The sequence below is a fragment of the Homo sapiens genome, chromosome 2 (genome assembly GCF_000001405.40).
Source record: "Homo sapiens chromosome 2, GRCh38.p14 Primary Assembly".
In the NCBI taxonomy this organism is placed as follows: Eukaryota; Metazoa; Chordata; class Mammalia; order Primates; family Hominidae; genus Homo; species Homo sapiens.
In genome coordinates this window covers 75,642,474-75,662,445 of record NC_000002.12, presented here as the reverse complement: position 1 = coordinate 75,662,445, position 19,972 = coordinate 75,642,474, and the positions used below count along the sequence as shown (strand labels likewise).

The window sequence follows — 19,972 nt, the reverse complement described above, 5'->3', positions numbered from 1 at the left end:
TGAAATTTTTACAGAATCAGACAGATGACTTTAAAGAAATTTTTTTCATGATGGAAAAATCACCTCAATTGATTTTTCCATTTCTTAGGTCCTTGAATAAATGATACTTAGGTATACCTCAGAAATGCCATATATGATACAAATCCTGCAAAAGACATCATGAGAAAATACCAGCAGTATCTATCATGAATGTAGAAATAAAAGTCCTTAAAATAATTAGCAAATCAAATCCAGCAATGTATAAAAAAGATAATAGGGTTTATTCCTGGAAAGTAAGGTTGTTTTAACATTAGTCAACCAGTGTAATCACTCACGAACAGAATAAAGGAGAAAATCCACATCTCGATGACTGCAGAACCAATCATCTCAATTATTACCGAAAAAGTGTTTGACAAAATTCAGCACCCCCTCATACTACAAAAACCTTTCGGCAAAGTAGGAATATAAATTCCTCAATCTGATAAAAGGCATCTGTGAGAAAAATCTATACCTAACATCATATATAATGGTGAAATATTAAAGCAAGGATGTCTGCTCTCACCATTTCTGTTCAACATTGTTCTAGAAGACATAGTCATACAATCAGTCAAGATAAAAGAAGGCATAAACATTGAAACACAAGAGTTAAGATAGTCATTAGTTGGCCAGACATCCCAACACTTTGTGAGACTGAGCTGGGAGGATCGTTTGAGGCCAGGAGTTCAAGATCAGCCTTGGCAACAAGCTTGTTGTAAACATTAAGAGAAATGAAATGTCTTGTACAGCATCGGCACATAGGAGCCTTCTAATGAGGAGCCTATCCCTGAAAAAGTGAAAGATATATCATTTTTCTAATCCTTCGAATAGGATAAACTAAGTTTTTGATCTCTCTGAGTTATTCAAAAGGCTCAGGGATTTATTTCCCATCACAACACTACAAGGTAGTTTAGAAAATATACATACTTGAGCAACATGGTGGAGTAGGCACATTGAAAAACAAGCAGGGGCTGGGTGTGGTGGTTCACGCGTGTAATTGCAGCACTTTGGGAAGCTGAAATGAGAGGATGGCTTGAGGCCAGAAGTTCAAGACCAGCCTGGTCAGTATAGTGAGACCCCAATCCCTAAAAAATATATATATATTTTTTAAAGCAGGAACAGGCATAGCCAATTTTATCAGAACTCTGAAAAACAGTAAAAAGTTTATAGCAATGAAGCAAATGCTGAGTCAAGAACAGGCAACTTTAAAATGGCAAGAAAGCTTTGTGACATTTCTGCTTGCCCTTCCCCCACAAGCTCCCTGGTGTTGCAGCAGTCTTGAAATCAGCAACTGCATTCTGTCTTGGACCCTGATCCCCATTTCTAGAGGAAGCTGAGCAGAACTTACAAATTCTTGTTTAAGTCTCTGGTAGCCTGTCTGGGGCTACTTAAAGGATTGACAGAGCACTCATCGTAAGCAGTAGGCAATGCTTGAAAAAAGTGTAAGGTGAACTAACAACCGCAAACACCTGGGTCGAAAGACTATGGTCAAGATATCCAAAAAACCATCTATGTTCTGTGAGAAAAAGCTGCAAAGGAGTTTCTTTGGGAAATTAGAATATTCAACAGCACATACAGGGAGATTTAGAAAACTACGTGCATACACAGCAAGAAGCATGCTCAGACAAGATCTGCAAAGACCCTACGCTTTTGGGCCTGATTGTTAGGCTCAGTACAAGCCTGGCTAAGTATTAATGGAAAAGCCCAGCACAGAACCAATCTACAAAGACTGGAAAGACTGGGAGAGAGATTTTTCTGCTAGTTTTAACTCCTTTCAAGGAAATCTATGTCAAACTATTAAACACAAACTAAGGAACAGAGACTTCAGTGATGACACACAGAAGGAATACAGTCTTTGCAAAAATAGTTTGGAAATGACTGCACATGTAGCAATAGACTGCTACAATCTTCAATAATAAAAATAAAACTAACTCTCAGGAAGGGGGGAATATCTGATTTTCAGGGCCACCACGTTATGATGTTCAAACATACAGTTTTCAACAACAAAAAGACAGCATACAAAGACACAGGAAAGTATGGCTCATTGAAAACAAAATAATGAAAACCATCCCTGAAGAAACACAGACATTGGACTTACTATGCAAAGACTTTAAACAATTGTCTTAAATAAGCCCAAAGAGCTAAAGGAAAACATGGACAAAGAACTAAAGGAAGAAAGAGACATATGAACAAAATGAGAATATCAATAAAGACACAGACGTTATAAAAAGGAACCAAAGATAAATCTTGGAGCTGAAAAGTACAGTAACTGAAATAAATTCACTAGAGGAGTTCAACAGTTGATCTGAACAGGGAGAAGAATCAACAAACTTGAAAAAAATAAAAAGAAGGGCAACTGCAATAATCAAGTCTGAGGAACAAAAGAGAACACAGCCTAAGAAACTGGTGAGACAGCATCAAACAGACCAACATATACATTAAGAATATTTCAGAAGGAAAAGAAAGAAGCAGTGAAAAAAATTGAAGAAATAATAGCCAAATATGTCCAAAATTTGATAAAAGACATAAATCTATGACTCCAAGAAACTCAACAAACTCTAAGTGGGATAAACTCAGAGACCCACACTGAGCCGCGTTATAATCAAACTGTCAAAAGACAAAAGCTGAGCAAATCCGAAAAGCAATAAGACAGAACTGACTCATCAAGAATGAGGAATCCTCAAATTTTATAACATCTAATATCTCATGAGAAACCATGAAGTCAGAAGGTAGTGGGATGACATATTTAAAGTGCTGAAAGAAAAATACTGTTACCAAAAATTCATGTATCTGGCAAAATTATCCATCAAAAATAAGGGAGAAATCAAGACATTCTCAGATAAAACAAAAGCTGAGGGAGTTTATTACAATTAGACTTGCCCTGCAAGAAATGCATAAGGGAATCCTTTGGGCCGAAATGGAAGGGCACTAGACAGTAACTCAAATCTATATAATGAAATAAGGATCCAAAATAAGATAAATATATTGACAAATATAAAAGTCAGTATTACTATCATACTGTTTTCTAACTCCACTTTTTATTTCCTAAATGATTTAAAAGACAAACTCATACAAATAACTATAAATTATTTATTAGGCAATTTGTGCCATCAATAACATAAGGGGGGCAGGGGCAGAGCTTTACAGGAGTAGAGATTTTGTATGCTATTGAAGGTAAATTGGTATCAGTTTAAATTAGATTGTTTTAAGTGTAGGATGTTAACTATAATCCCCATAGCAACCACAAATAAAACATCTAACAAATATACACAAAGGGGAGTGGAAAGAGAATCAGACTAGTTCACTACAAAAAAACAGAAAAGAAGGCCATAAAGAGGAAATGAGGGGCCAAAAAAGTATATGACATATAGAAGAAGTGTTAAATGGTAGAAGAAAGTCCTTCCTTAATTACTTTAAATGCAAATGGATTAAATTTTCCAATCAAAAGGCAGAAATTGGCAGAATGGACAGAAAAAACAAAACAAAACAAGATAGTGATATGCTGTCTACAAGAGACTATAGCTCCAAAGACACAAATACATGGAACACATAGAAAAAGATACTCTGTGCAAAAATTTTTTTAAAAAAAGAGAACCTTAACACATTGTAAACCACCTTGACCTAAGAGACATATAGAAAACTACAGTCAACAATAGCATGATAAATATTTTGCTCAAGTGTATGAGGAACATTCTCCAGGACAGACCATCTATCAGGCCACACACCAATTCTCAAAAACATTAAAATCATACTAAGTATCTTCTCTAATCACAATGGAATGAACTTGGAAATCAATAACAAAAAAACAGTGGGAAATTCATAAACATGTAGAAATTAACACACTCAACCAGGGGATCGAAGAAGAAATCACAAGAGAAATAAAACATGACATTATCTAGCAATTCTACTCAAGATGTATACCCAAAAGAACTTAGAAACAGGCAATCAAATACATACTTGTTATGTCAATGTTTACTGCAGCATTATTCACAATAGCCAAAAGGTAGACATATCCCAGTGTTCATCAGAAGATGGATGAACAAAATGTATATACATACAATGGAATATTATTTAGTCATAAAAACAAATGAAATTCTGACACATGCCACAACATGGATGAATCTTAAGGACTGCTTGAGGCCAGGAACTCAAGACCAGCATGGGAAACATAGCAAGACCACATCTCTACAAAAAACAAAATCAGCCAGGCGCAGTTAATGTGTGCCTATAGTCTTAGCTACTCAAGGAGGATTGCTTGAGCCCAGGATTTTGAGGCTGCAATGAGCTATGATCACACCACTGCACTCCTACCTGAGTGATAGAATGAGACCTTGTCTCAAAGATAAAAAGAAAGATTTGAGGTTACCTGGGGTTGGGAGAGATACAGGAATGAGGTTATTGCTCAACAGTTACAGAGTTTCAGTTTGGGGTGATGAGAAAATTTTGGAAATAGTAGTAATAATTTCACAACATTGTGATGTAATTAATGCCTCTGACTTGTAAATTTAAAATGTTTACAATGGCAAATTATGTTTTATATATATATCCTACCACAATAAAAAAAAAAAGCTTTAGATTATGCACATTTAATTTTATTTCTGGGGGAAGATTTGCTTTACTTCTGGGGAAAAATTCACAAGAATTTTAAAGATATTCCTACAGAGTAAAAAGCATGATTGTTTACATGTTTTTGAGCACCTGTACTTACAAGCTGATCATACATTTGCAGAGCTTTAGGTCCTAAAATATACTGTCCCATCTACCATTCTACCAAGATTGAAGTGTGTTTATCAAGACAGAAAAAGAACAGGTTTTAATAGCTATCTTCTAACAAGATAAAGAGAAGAAAAATATAAGATATAGGCTCTTGTTAACCTTTTATTTTGAGAGGTTCTTTTGAGAGGTTATCTCAGCAAATAATCTAAACAAGTGAAGGATAGGATATCTATTACTTGTTGACAGTAGTTAGATGACTATATAATCATTAGTGAAAAAGATCAAGGAAGTAGCTGAAAGCTGCTGTCTGACAGACCCCTAGACAATCTCCTTCCTGGACAGACCCCTCCAGGAAGGAGATTGGAAGCCTCTATTCTAGGGAATCTGACAAAACCAAAATATTCATGTGGAGGAGGGGACTCCCAAAAAAGCCCATTCAGATAATCCTAAAGACAGCCCCTTCCCACAACCCAAAGGCTTTCCAAGCTTTTTAGTCCCTCTTTCAACCATAAGAAGACAGCCAAAGATTATCAGATATCCTGGAAAAGTCTGAAATATAGACAACAAAAAATAAATACAGAAAGAAATTTGGAGGAAATAGATGCGCAAACAATTTTAAATGAAAAAAAAATACACTATATTGAATACCCCTTATCTGTGAACAAATCCATAGATAAAGGCTTTTTGGTTGTAAGAAAAGGAACTTCTACAAATCAAGAAGGGGTCTTAAGATTTTAAAATACAATAGCAAAGAGTTGGAAGATTGAGCTAAAGAGCTAAAAAACAGAGACTGGGGTCAAGGGAGGGAGGTAAGAAAATAGATACCCAGTGCTGGATATCCAACATCCAAATAATAGTTGGGAGAACAAAGCAGCAGAGAATAAATCATCAACCAATGCTAAGTGTTTCCCAGAACTGACAGAAATGAGTTACTATCTGGAAGGGTTCACCTAAAACCCAATACAATGGATAAATATAGACCCACACCAAGACACATCATCATGAAATTTATGATGGGGAAATCAAAATGGCATTGGATTTCTCAATACAACAATAGAAACAAAGAAAATGGAGCAACAATATTTTTAAAGTCCTGAAGGAAAATTACCTCCTACCTAAACGTATAAAGTATCAATCAAACATGAGACATGCAAGGTCTCAAAAATTTTACCTCCACACAAACTTCCTCTAGAAGCTACCAAAGGATGTGCTGCAGCAAAACAAGTTAGTACTCAATAAAATGGAAAACATGGAATCCAGAAAACAGCTGAGCGCAGGAAAGAAGTTAGTCCCAAGACAGCTAGGAACCAGAGGGCAGATCTGAAGGTAACTCAATGGATAGGCTGAGAGTTGCCTTCAAGATTTAGGATAGTACTGTATTTTTTAACCTGAGGAACAGTATATCCAGGTGAGTATGGACCAAATTACATGTTTTTCTTTAGCATGTGTGCTTATACCCCAGCTTTCCAATCCATGCTGCATGGATCAGCAACAACACTCATATCATACCAAAGGTATTGTTTTAACCTAATCCTAAGATACAGAGTTTGATTCATCATGCTGTGAGCATCAAAAAACAGTTTACTTCCTCTAACCACATTTCTGCAACATCCAGCTACCCAGTATAATCCTGCCAGATACCTTGTGGTGAGCCTTCTGTTTAGCAGAACTCACTCATAACCTTAGCCATGAATTTGCTCAAAATTGGCCTCTGTAAACTCTCAGAGGAAGCTGAAGCCAGACTATGACCCAAAGACTGTAACGTTTCCCTTGAAGCCTTCATGCAATAATAGTAATACTGCCCCTTTATACTTGCTAACAGGTTTTTTTTTTCAGGTTTTTCAAAATTAAATATATTGTTGAAGAATATATGTGTTGGCAGTAAACTAAAAGAAATGCAAGGGAATAATTAACAAGTCAAGATGATATTTACATTTAAAAAGGAGAGAGATACAATTGCAGATTTACTGGAGTCTTCTGAGATCTTATTAAATGTTTTATTTCTTAACATTCCTACATATTAATAAATGTTCTATTTCTTAACCTGATAGTGGGTACATGAATGTTTATTATTCTGTAAATCATATTGTGCTTATGAATTGTTTCACAATTAAAAAAAAAATTCATCCCACCTATTCCCTTTGCTCAGGTTCCATGCTCATTAAAGACCATTCTGGTGATGCTCTGACTTCTATTGTAGCTTTGCCTCCAATAAGCAAATGGACATTGGTCCATTTGGCATGTGTAATTCTCTTTTTAGAGTAATAAACTGGTGTACAAGTTTTATTTTAGAAAAAAAGTATTAATAAAACAATGAATGCTTAGTTCACTTAATTACTATGTTCTTATAAATGAAATTAAATTGGTCTCAAAATATATCCTCTTAGAGCCAATGTATCTTCTGCAACTAACCAAATTCATTCTCAGAATCAAGACCTTTTCGACGCTTCAATTTCCTTCCATATTGCAGCTTCAATTTTTGAAGTATCATATTCCCTCATCATATCAAATTCAAGCCATGGCTGATTCCACTTCTGAGCTTCTTTCATTTGCTGTTCAGTTAAACAAAGATCAAATCTGATTCCTTTAATATTAAAATTTGGACGTTCCCAGCGTTTAGACCAGGGCTTAGGCTTCATTTTTACTTTCAGCTAAGGAAGATTAAAAAAAAAAAAAAAAAAAAAGCAATAATTAGGCTGATAGGCATGAGCAAAAATTCTTCTGAAGTTTTCATTAAGATGATTCTTTCTTTCTTATTTTATACTTGAACTTCTAGTTTCAAATGTATAACCCATACCTCATTAACAGGAACTTTTTGGTTAGGCTCTTGTACTACTGGCTTCATATTCACATCAAAAGTGCTATATTCAGGAAGGGCATCTCGTAAGTATAGCAAGCTATCATCCAGCCGTTTCTCTAATTTGACCACCTGAATCTCCTGGACCCGAGGATTATAAAGTTCAAAGCAAATCTCGACACCTAAATAGAACAGAAAACATATTCTTACAATCTAAGTCCACGTTCCTATACATGTTTCATACTGCAGTAAAAGCATTTCATAAAGGAATTAGCACAAAGTTTTGCATGTAGAAAATGTGCCGTTAATTTGAAATTTTTAAGATAAAGATTACTGAAAGAAATAGAAATAAGCTAAAATCCATTTAAATATAAAGTTAGAAAGTCTGAATTGGAATGATAGTCTAAAAAAGAAAAAAATGGCTTCTAGAAATATGTTGAGTCACATATCTCTTCAATTCTCATAGTAGTAACTTCAGAGAAAGTCTGAATTCTTCCCTATGTCACGTTTTTTATCTCCCAATTACTTGAAGAAAAATCAATCTTCCATGTTAAGAGTAATAAGACTAATGGTACAAAAGAAGTAAAATATTAAGTTCCAACTTTGGTTAGAAGCTCCTTTGATTAAGGATTAGTGGATTAAAGGGATGGAGAGAACTAGTTTTGCCTTTTGCCCTTCCACCTTTCACCATGTGAGGGCACAGTGCTTGGCCCTTCCAGAGCACACAGCAACAAGGCACCATCTTGGATGCAGGGAAGGAGGCCTCACCAAATACAAAACCTGCCAGCACCTTGAACTTAGATTTCCCAGCCTCCCGAACTGTGAGAAATAAATTTCTGTTCTTTCTAAATTACCCAGCCTGTAGCATTTTGTTACAACAGCACGAACAGAATAAGCCACCAGAAATGTAAACCAGAGAGACTGCACAAATGCAAGCAGATGATGGTGACATGGATGAGGGTGATAGCAATGTAGAGGGAAGAACAGGCAAAATTGTGATATATTTTTTGGAGACTGTGCCAAGAAAACTTGATTGACTGCATGTGTGAAAGTAAGTGGGTAGGCAGAGTGGTACCATTTATGGAAATAGAAAAGACTGTGAATGGAACACCTTGCAAGGGGAAATAAAGAGTTCTGCTTTCAACTTATGCTGGTAAGACATCCAAATAGAGTGTTGATCAGATAGTTGCAGATAGTTGCAAATCTGGAACTTAAAAAGGGTCAGTCCTGGAGTTATAAATTTGGAAGTTATCATTATACAGATGGTATACAAAGCCACCGAACAAGAAGGAAACACTAATGCAGGAAGCAGTGATGGGGAAGGTTGAGGCAGGTTACAACAGTCAGACATACTACAGAGAATGGCAAGAGGGAGCTAATCCTTTTTGAGTATTCTGTGTCCAGTACTTCAAATACAGTATCTCACAGTTGATTGGCTAGAACCATGTAGAGTAGAAACTATTACTATCTTAATGCTTAAAGAAAATCAAATGACTCACTCCTATGCTCATTTACTTCTATTACAAGGCCTCTCCAAGTATTTGACCAGATTGAAGGCACAAATCAATTAAGTCCTGCTGAATTCCTGCACGCACAGCCCACTGTCATTACAGAATAAGCAAGACAGCAACTGCTTTCACATTTTCAATTTCTTTGAAAATAAGAATACTTTGTTGTTGGAACTTCATGAAGCACACAACTTGATAAACGTAATTGTTCCTGCCATTTTAATTAATAATCTTGCTAGAGTTTTACTCCTTGTTCCTCTATTAGGCATAGTATATAAACACAATTTTGCCTTTTTAAAATTCCTCCCAAGTCATATAAGACAGTGATAATTTTGTTTTGTGTCATAACATAAAGTAAAATGTGGGTATTCATTTTAGGAGCAAGTAATTCATGAAGACATTAAAGGTTTGTCTTAAAGTTTTACTCATGGGTTATTTGCTCCTAAAACAAATATCCCCATACTGCTTTATAGTAATTTATTCCCCTCTTTGATGTTGCCATGGTTTGCAAAGTCTACTTCTAATGACTGTTGTTCCAATAACATAAGAAGCCTTCAAGAGAAAGAAGTCCATCAACCATATTTAATCATTAACTTCAAATCTCAATCCATTCTAAAGCCACAGGCTCCACATCTTCCCTCAGAGTCTCCTTTTACTTTCAAATTTCAGATTTCTTATCCCAGGATGCAGAAACAAAAAGGAATCCTGAGATAACATTTTCTAGACAATGAAAATGATGAAATAAAACTTACCTTGTCCTTCGATAACATTCCTAAGGATGAAAGTAGCTCCAAGTCCTCTTCCTGATCTCTGAATGCAAATCCCCAGAAACTGGCTGATTTTTCCACTGGCATATGGGTCAGCTGTAGTAACACGAAGAATACTTCCTACAAATTCAAAAGAGAAGTGAACTTTTTTTTCAGCACACCCAGCTGAGAAGTAAACTTTATATAAGATGCAGAAACAAACAAATAGCATTTCTAGATAACTTAACTTCCTAAATGTTTTAATGTAGGAATAAATACTTCATATGAGCATAACCCAGATATGTAAAAAACAATCTTCTTTTGCTTTTTAAGAAAACTAACCATCCAATCACAAACTAGCCATCCTAATTACTAATAATAAAAACATACAGCTCTTACTGACCAACATAGAACTCTGGAATGTGGAGTACTTTTCTCCTTTCTAACATATCTTTTCTTTCTATTTGAAATTTCAGAGGATCTGTTCTTCCCCTTCGAGGAATGAATTCAGGACTCAAGAACCTGTAAAAAATACAAATAAATAATTAAAAGTAAACTCAAAAGGCTGCTAGAAGAAAAATTGTTGCTTTTCAAAGAAATTAAATATGATATTGATGTATTTTATTCTTCATTGTCTAAATAAAAGTCAATCTTATTTCTAAAATTGTTAATGCTCATGAAAATAGCTAACAATTCCTGAGTACTCACCTGGTATTTTGTTAAAAGCTTTATGAAACATCTATAGCATAAATTAATCCTTCTAGCAACCATGTGGGTTTGGTGTCATCTCCTTTTTACAGAGCAAGAAACTGAAGCTTGAAAAAGGTAAATAACTAACCCATTGCTACATTAGCTATAAATCTGTCAAATCAAGATTTAAATGTAGGTATGTTGGTCAGTCTCCAAAGCCTATAACCATTACTACAGGCCTCACACTGAGCTATACATGCTATAATAAATTATGTCAGAAAAGACATCAACATATAAATCACTAATTATAAATTGACTTTTAAAATGATCTTCCTGATCAGAGAAGATGGCCCTGGAGATGGTGCTGAAGGACCTGGGGCATCTGCAGGCTTGTTGGCTGTGTTTGCTGGTCAAGACTATAGACCAGTTTGAATATGAAGGTTCTGACAACTGTAACACCTATCTACAGACGAAGAGTAACTGAGATGGTATATGACTGCACTAGCTCTTCCTTTGATGGAATCATTGCAATGATGAGTCCAGAGGACAGCTAGGTCTCCAAGTGGCAGCGAGTCAGTAACTTTAAGCCAGGTACATATGCGGTGTCATTCACTGGTCACCTGCCCCAAGGAATCGTGTAGGAGCTGAAAAGTCGAGGAGAGACCTACAAATCCAGAGACACAGCTGCAGCACATCGTGTCCCTGAACCATTTTCTCTTCCTTGGATGACAGGTGCGGGTGGGAGGGATTTGGGTTGGTGGATTAACAGATCGAACTGAAGAGAAAGTAGGATGCTGATTTTCCTATCCATGGCCCAGGGATGCACCTTGCCCATGGCAAGGACTCTAGGTCAAATGCCAATAAATATGAACCTCTAGAAAGTTCTTAAGGCCATGATACATTCCTTGCCTCCCTCTCCCTTTCTCTTAGGCACAGTAAGAGCTTGTTTATGCTGTAAGAATCTTCCCAGAACAGCAGAGGCCCTTCTACTCCCTACTGACTGTCTCTGAGCCTTCTGTACTGCAGCCTTTCTAGTGTGCTTCCTTGCTTCCAATCAGAAGGTGCTGTCCAGAGGCTAGGTAATCCCATCAGCTTGGTAGTCCTGGGGTCTCGTGGTTGTATCTTTCTGCCCTCTAGACCTGGCACAGCAGTATCCCTTGAAGAAATCCTGAGGCTTCATAGTGCTCTTCGCTCCTTGACCACGTTTAATAATTCTTGCTTTTCCCCCTCCTCGTCTCTTCTCTTCTGTTTACCGCTCTTCCTATACCTTAGGCCAGTCTCACATCCCTGCATTTCACATTCTCCTAACTGGAGACCCTTGGGCCTTAGGCAACTGCTGGGTCCTAGTCTGCCTTGTTTGTGCCTCTGTAGGAGGTAAGTCCTTCCTTTTCTCCTCTGGCCTAGTAGGGGACCTTGGGTAATGTCCCATTTTGGCCAAGGTGAGGTATTCGTTTTAGAATAAAAAATTCACCATAAATTCTCATTTACTTAAATTTCCACAGAAATCCTGTTAGTGTCCCCGTTTTGATTTCCCTAAGTTGCTGGTTCTCCCTCTGTAAAAAGAGAATGATTAGACCCTGCCTGTTTACCTCAGGATTGTTGTGATTGTAGAAATGAAGCTATGTGAAAATTGTGTAAGTCTTACAAAGGTGAAATCCTTTTGCTTAAAAAATAATAATCTTCTTTTTTTCTTCTTTAACTGATTTTAAGCTCATTATGAAATATTTAATCTACATAAAAAGTATAAATGACAGTACAATGAATATTCATGTCTTTACCACCCACCTCAAGAAATAAATTATCAATATTGTGGAAGCCCCTGTGTATTTAGGATAGTTCATTACTATCCTAAATTTGGTGATTATTCCCATGAATTTCTTTCTCTTCCTCAATTTTCTACTTTGAAAATTTTAAAGCCTACCAAAAAATAGTAATACAATGAACACCTGTAGATCTTTCATCCACTTTTACCAACTGCTAAAATTTTGCTATATTTGCTTTATATACACATATCATTTTTTTCTGAACCATTTGAAAATGTCAGCCAGGTGTGGTAGCTTACGTCTGTTATCCCAACACTTGGGAGGCCGAGGAGGGTAGATCGTTTGAGCCCAGGAGTTCCAGACCAGCCTAGGCAACATAGTGAGACCTCATTCTACAACAAAAAAATTTTTAAAATAGCCAGGCATGGTGGCGGGCACCTGTAGTCCCAGCCACTTGGGAGACTGAGTAGGGAGGGGCCCAGGAGTAGGAGTTGCAGAGCCAAGATCATGCCACTGCACTCCAGCCTGGATGACAAAGCAAGGCTCTGTCTCAAAAAAATGGAACAGCAAGGCATTTCATCCCTCAATAATTTAGAAGGCTTATGCTAAGAATAAGGACTTGCTCCTATATTATCACGATACCCTTCTGACACCTATAAAAGTCAGCATTAATTTGATAACATAATCTAATACAAAGGTATCCAATCATCTGGCTTCCCTGGGACACACTGGAGGAATTATCTTGAGCCACACATAAAAGACACCAACAATAGCTGGTAAGCTTAAAAAAAAAAGGCACAAAAAAAATCTCATATGTTTTAAGAAAGTTTACAGATTTGTGTTGGGCCACATTTAAAGCTGTCCTGGGCTGTGGGTTGGACAAGCTTGGTCTAATACAGAGTTCATACTCAAATGTATGTCATTATCCTGGGAAGGTATTTTACATCTATTCGTTGCCCAATTCAAAATACAATCAAGCTTCACACATATTTGGTCATTAGTCTCTCAGACTAGGACTTTTTTCCAACTTTGTATTTTTATAACATTAACTTTTTTGAACAGTCAAGGCCTACTATCTCATCTCTGGATTCTGGATTGTTTCCACATGCCTAGACTAAGGTTAAATAATTTTAGTAAGAATATTACAGGGAGATGATGTGAACAACTTATTCTGTCACATCAGGAGACACATAATATCAACTGGTACCAATACTGGTAAAGTTAGGTTTGACTGTTTGGCAAAGTTTCAGAAGGCCCCCCTTACATTTCTTTTTACTTTTCATATGCATGTATGTCTGGGCAACATATATTGTTTCGTATAATTTTGTTTTTGTTTTTTTCTGAGACAGAGTCTTGCTCTATCGCCCAGGCTGGAGTGCAGTGGCACGATCTCGGCTCACTGCAACCTCGGCATCCTGTGTTCAAGCAATTCTTCTGCCTCAGCCTCTCGAGTAACTGGGATTATAGGCACATGCCACCACACCTGGCTAATTTTTTTTTTTTTTTGTACTTTTAGTAGAAATGGGGGTTTCGCCATGTTGGCCAGGCTGGTCTCGAACTCCTGACTTCGTGATCTGCCCTCCTCGGCCTCCCAAAGTGCTGGGATAACAGTCGTGAGCCACCGCACCCGGCCTATAGTTTTAAAACTTCATAAAAATAGCATCCTACTACATTAATGATTCTAAAGGTTTTTTTTACACACAGATTTGTGAAAATCTTCCATGTTTAAAAGTGAGCTCTAATTCACTCATTTTTCACTGCTATACAATATTCTGTCATATGAATGTATTTGCCTGTTCACCTACTGATGGATATCTAGGCTGCCTCTAAATTTTGTTACAAAAAATACTGTTACATTCATTCTCGTGCTTGTCTCCTTGTACATACACGTTAGGAGTTTAAGTTGTGTGCTTTCTGAGTGAGAAGGTATACACAACTTAAACTTAGTAAATTCTGTCAAATTGTTCTCTAGAGCATATAATTTACATTCCTATTTAAGTGAATTCTATTAAATGCCACTGTTTAAAAGAGATATTCCATTTCTACCCTCAAAAGCAAAGTTTTATGAAGAAATATTTTCTGAATCTCTTAGTTCTCTAACTCCAAGTTTACTTCTATTTAAATCCGTGGAATATTTTAAATGTTAAAAAAAGAAAAGAAAAAAAAAAGCCAGGCGTGGTACCAGTAGTTCCAGCTACTCTGGAGCCTGAGGCGGGAGGATCACTTGAGCCCAGAAATTTGAGGCTGCAGTGAGCTAAAATCACCACTGCACTCCAGCCTGGGAGACTGAGAGAGACTCTGTCTAAAAAAAATTTAAAAAATAAAAAAATTAAAAATCCCAGAAGTAATCCAATCAATAATCTACAGCCCTTTCAAAAAGCCTATAATCATATCAGGTTTTTCCTCTGAAAACTGGCTTTTTAAAAAGGTTGCTACATAGCTCTCTTTTCAGACCTTAAGTCCTTTAAATTTACATGTACCTCCAAGATTACCACCATTCATATAAGTTTTTATTCACACTATTTTGATGAGTAAGTTTCAGACACAATTTAGTGGCCAGTTTTACTGTGCTTTGTCTGCCAAAACTTCCAACCTAAACCATAGCAAATTTTTTAAGTTGGCCAATCGATTCCTATCCAGGGTTAAGGGTCTTTTGAGAGAAAAGAAGAGCTCTTGGACGTAAACAGGTATAAACAGGATATACCTCAGAGAAAAACTCTGGTACAGGACAAATACCACAGAGAAAAGAGTTTAAAATATGGGGAACCCCTACTTGAAGTTCTGACTCAATAAAACTGCAAAGAAGTTCAATGCTGGCTTGGGGAGAAGTGAGAAAGAAAGAACAGTGTGGTGCGCTGGCTCTTGAATCCTACACACCTGCTCGTGCAGGGGGAGGTGCAGCCCCCACCTTAGAGCCGGGACCTCGAACGCGAACGCGCTCACGCGCGCACCGACCCCAGTTGCCGGCCTAGCGCCAGGGCAGTGCCTCACCTGCGTTCCGGTTCCACGGGGCGGTGCTTGTCCACGATGACCGGTTTCGGCGGCGGTTGGAACGCACCGGGCTCGGAAGGCCCAGTGCTCTGCTGCCGGACAGGCCCCGCGTGGACCCCTGCGGGAGCGGACGACGGAGGTCAGAACTCTCGTGCCAACCCTGAGATCCCGCAGAGCCCCGCAATCTCCCCCAACCCGGCGTCCCACGGGGGACCAACGCTGGGGTTGCCTCTGATCTCCAGGTTCGCCTCCCCCATCCTGACCCTGGGCCCCTAACGCGCCCCAGCTCGCAAGTCCGGCTCCACTTACTGCAGGCGATAGAGGCCGGCGGGGGGAGCAGAGTCCTGGCGGCTTGGAAACTCCGGCCTAGGCCCATTGCAGCCCAGTGCCCCGCTGCAATGCAGGCCGCCATGCCAGCTAGCTCACGTCAAGACTACAGCTCCCAGTAATCAGTGCGACGAGGTTGTTGCTGTCTGCCACCATATGGCGGCTGCTATGGGACAAAATGGATAAGTCTCTCCTCGCTCCTTTCCTGATGTCTTAGGAAAAGTGCACGTTTCTCTAGTTCCTCGTAATGCGCCAAGTTACACCCCTCCACAGGGGTGTTCTCCCAGCCTAGAAAGCTTTTTCCTCCCCCTATGAATCCACTCTATCTTCTCAGACAAGCTTTCGCTATGCGAAAATCCCATTGTAGGCCGTCTTTCCCACTGGGTGCCTTCGATTGGCAGCTCTGATCTCATTTGCAATTCTTTCTTGTGTAATTATTAGATTAGTATTTAAATCTGCCATTATACTATAATGAGGCAAGGGAAGGGATAAAGTCTTCTTTTTGCTCACCATGTTATCCCAGCACCTAGCACCTACCTGGGCCCTCACTAACATCTTTTGTTTTGTTGAGACAAGGTCTTCCTCTGTTACCCAGGCTGGAGTGCAGTGGCGCGATCATGGCTCTGCAGCCTCCAACTCCTGATGTCAGGAGATCCTCTCACCTCAGCCTCCCGAGTAGCCAAGACTACAGTCTCGCACCATCACGCCCAGCTAATTTTTCTAATTCTTTGCTGAATGCACAGAAAAGAGAATAGAATAGTTCCTGACAGAACTGCTGGCCCATAGTCCTTGAGACTACACAAAGCATTAACCCTTTGAGGAACCCAAATGAATTTGGGCTGGGCAACTGTGGGTATGGATAGGTGGGAGAAGTAAAGCTGGAAAAGGTAAATTGTAAGTCTTGTTAAGAAATTTGGAAAATGACTGGGCGTGGCCAGGCATGCCTGTAATCCCAGCACTGTGGGAGGCCGAGACAGGAGGGTCCCTTGAGCTCATGAGTTGGAAACCAGCCTGGGCAATATAGTGAGACCGTATCTCTAAGAAACAAACACACAGCCGGGCGCAGTGGCTCACGCCTTTAACCCCAGCATTTTGGGAGGCCGAGGCGGGCAGATCGCCTGAGGTCAGGAGTTTGAGACTAGCCTGGCCAACATAGTGAAACCCCGTTTCTACCAAAAATAAAAAAAATGATCCAGGTGTGGTGGCAGGCTCCTGTAATCCCAGCTACTTGGGAGGCTAAGGCAGGAGAATCGCTTGAACCTGGGAGACAGAGGTTGCAGTGAGCCGAGATCGCGCCATTGCAACAAGAGCGAAACTCCGTCTCAAAAAAACAGAAAAAGAAACACACACAAAAAAAGAAATTTGGAATTTGTTATTTCAGCAGTGGTTATATAAGGATTGAACACTTAGAGTAATGTGATAATTTAACTACATAATAGTCATTCCAGTTGCATTAATGTCCCAAAGCTACCTCAAATTCAGCCTATCCATACTGAGTTCATCTTTTTCAGCTCCAGACTTCCTTCCCAGTATTGGCTATCTCAAGGAATGGCTTCAGCATCCACTCTCTTGCCTAAGCCAAAAATCTCAGTGCCATTCTTGATTCCTCCCTGTCTCCTCCTGGATGAAGTTCCAAAAACTATGCCTGACACCGTCAAATATCTCAGGAATCCATATACTTTCTCATCCTCCCATCCATATTTCCAATCTAGGTCAACATATTTTCTCTCTTCAGGATCCCTGGAGATCCCTGCAACAGCCTTCTCATTAGTCTTCTTGCCTCTGGTTACCTCCAGTCCTTCACGCAGCAACCAAAAAAAGATGGCTCAGAAATGCATACCCTGTTCTTTCCTTTCCCCAGTTTAAAGCCTTACTGTTTACTTTTGACAGAAGTCAAATGCTCATAAAAGCAACCAACCTCTGCAGCTTGGCCTCTATACTCTGACTTGCCATCCTGAAGAACATGAGCTGTTACATCAGCCTGAGGAACAGGGCCATGTTTTGAGCACAGAATTCAAGATGCTGTGAAGAAAGACAGGGCCTTCTATTTTAACTCTAGCTTCTTTGATTAGAACAAGAATTTATTCTATAAATGACAAGGAATCTCACAACCAAAATTTCAGATGAGCAATATTTTGGCTCTTCTACCTACCCGAAAAAGTAGACTTCAAGCCCTTAAGAGTAAAAGGGAGGAGAGGCAAAGATAATCATGACTGGCAGTGGTGAAGATTTTTCTGTATTAACCATGCCCAGAACACGTGGCCTTCACTCTTGCTGGGATTGGTCCTAAAGGTAGGGGCAGAGAAATAAAAGACAGACCTTCACAGGAGGACAGCAGGATTTACTAGACATTGCCAAGCCACTCCTGCTGCCCTCTCCTCTTCCACAGATGAAGGAATAGTTGTGTAGAGTTTTACAAAATTGGAAGAATGAACCTAAAGAATCTTATCTAATTTTCTCCCGTATTCTTGCTCATCCAACATATATCAGGCCGTTTTGACCTTATCTTAATTTGGAGAACAAGCTGGAGTTTAAATTATTCCAACTTAAGTTGTTATTAAACAACTTCATAGAGCAAAATCAAAGAGCACAGAGCTGGCTCAACCATTTTATGAGCTGATCACAGGAATAGAACTTTAATTATTTACTTCTGTGTTTTACACCCTTGGAAAGGAGATCATGAACATCATTACATAATGTTCAGCCAAGGGAAGAAAGTATTCCAGGCAAACTGGCTGCTTCAGGTTATTGTGACATCAGGATCCTTGTCGGTTTTGCTTGTTATTACATCCTCTATATTTAGTAGAGTATCTGGCACCCAATAAATATTTCTAAGTAAAATTAGATAGATCATTCTGATTGTACTTTAGAAAATGGCTGGGAAGCAGGAAATTATTGAAATATTCCAAAAGAGAGATGGTGCTAACCTGGAACAGAAAAAAAAAAAATGGTTCTTAAAGTGTGAGCCCTTGACTAGCAACATCAGCACAACCAGGGAACGTGTTAAAATTACAAATTCTCAGGTCCCGCCCCCAGACTTACTGAATTTAAAACTCTGGGCACAGAACCCAGTGATCTGTGCTTTAGCAAATCCTCCGGTGATTCTGATAGTTGTTCCAATTTGGGAACAATTGAGGTAGAGGCAATAGAGATAGAAAGTGGTATTTTTTTTTCTGTCTCTCCATCTATTTGTGAGGTAGAGTCAGTAAAAAAAATTTCTGAAATGTACTAACTGGAGTCTTTGAGAGAGGTTCCCATCTCTGCCTTTTCTTCTTCATGGGTAATAGGATAGAGGTATGCCTACCTCATTGGGTTGGTATAAGGATTAAATTGTGATAATGCATAAAGTTTGCAGATAAATGTATAGATCATAATAAAATTCTTTTTTTCCAACTTTACTGAGACATGATTGAAAGATAAAAATTTGTATATATTTAAGGTGTACAACATGATGATTTGATATATGTATGCAATGTGAAATGATTATCACAGTTTAGCTAATTAACATATCCTTCACCTAATTAAAAAAAAAAGCTTTTTGTAAAACTTATTTTAAAGATGCCAGCAAGAGGAAACTATAATCTGATTCATGTATTAACACATCCAAAAAAAGAATCTCCTATTCCTAGAAAACCGTAAAGATGCTACCAAAAGACGCCTAGACCTGATAAACAACTTCAGTAAAGTTTCAGGATACAAAATTAATATGCAAAAATCAGTAGTATGTCTATTCACCAACAGTGTTCAAGCTGAGAACCAAATCAAGAATGCAGTCCCATTTACAATAGCCACCAAAAACATAAAATACCTAGGAATACACCTAATCAAGGAGATGAAATCTCTACAACAAGAACTACAAAACACTGCTGAAATAAATTATAGATGACACAAACAAATGGAAAAACATCCCATGCTCATGGATTGGAAGAATCAATGTCACTAAAATGTCCATATTGCTCAAAGCAATTTACATATTCAACGACATTCCTATTAAATTACTATCATTTTTCACAGAACTAGAAAAAAAAACAATTCTAAAATTCATGTGGAACCAAAAAGAGTCCAAATAGCCAAAGCAATCCTAAGCAAAAAGAGTAAAGCAGGAGGAATGACATGATCTGACTTCACACTATACTACAAGGCTACAGTATCCAAAACAGCATGGTACTGGTACAAAAAGAAACAAACAGACCAATGGAACACAATAGAGAACCTACAAATAAAGCCGCATACCTACAACCAACTAATCTTCAACAGTCTACAAAAATTAGCAGTGGGGAGATGACATCCTATTCGATAAACGGTGCTGGGAAAACTGGCTGACCATATGCCAAAGAATGAAACTAGACCACTACCTCTCACCACATACAAAAATTAACTCCAAATGAGTTAAAGACTTACATGTACGACCTCAAACTA

The 19,972-nt window shown here is 38.4% G+C and overlaps 1 protein-coding gene and 1 pseudogene across 1 annotated transcript, besides 3 other annotated features; one reads left to right on the top strand and one right to left on the bottom strand.

Annotated features, from left to right (window-relative positions):
* Positions 1–239: 239 nt before the first annotated feature.
* On the bottom strand, positions 240–15,663 carry MRPL19 (mitochondrial ribosomal protein L19). Its single transcript, NM_014763.4, has 6 exons — positions 15,536–15,663; positions 15,227–15,344; positions 10,186–10,304; positions 9,789–9,923; positions 7,529–7,710; positions 240–7,382 (listed from the first exon to the last, which is right to left on the bottom strand). Exons 1-6 carry the CDS (start codon positions 15,636–15,638, stop codon positions 7,161–7,163), a joined length of 879 nt encoding a protein of 292 aa, NP_055578.2. The 5' UTR covers positions 15,639–15,663; the 3' UTR covers positions 240–7,160.
* SUPT4H1P1 (SPT4 homolog, DSIF elongation factor subunit pseudogene) lies at positions 10,798–12,137 on the top strand (annotated as a pseudogene).
* Positions 15,434–15,733: an enhancer, noted in NCBI's record as "active region_16093". NCBI's record gives its function as "activates an Ori minimal core promoter by ATAC-STARR-seq in GM12878 lymphoblastoid cells {active_cell/tissue: GM12878}" and the evidence as "EXISTENCE:reporter gene assay evidence [ECO:0000049][PMID:35858748]".
* Positions 15,434–15,863: a biological region, named in NCBI's record as "Sharpr-MPRA regulatory region 13771".
* Positions 15,569–15,863: an enhancer, noted in NCBI's record as "tiled region #13771; HepG2 Activating non-DNase unmatched - State 1:Tss, and K562 Activating DNase unmatched - State 1:Tss". NCBI's record gives its function as "activates a minimal TATA promoter and a strong SV40 promoter by Sharpr-MPRA in HepG2 and K562 cells {active_cell/tissue: HepG2 | K562}" and the evidence as "EXISTENCE:reporter gene assay evidence [ECO:0000049][PMID:27701403]".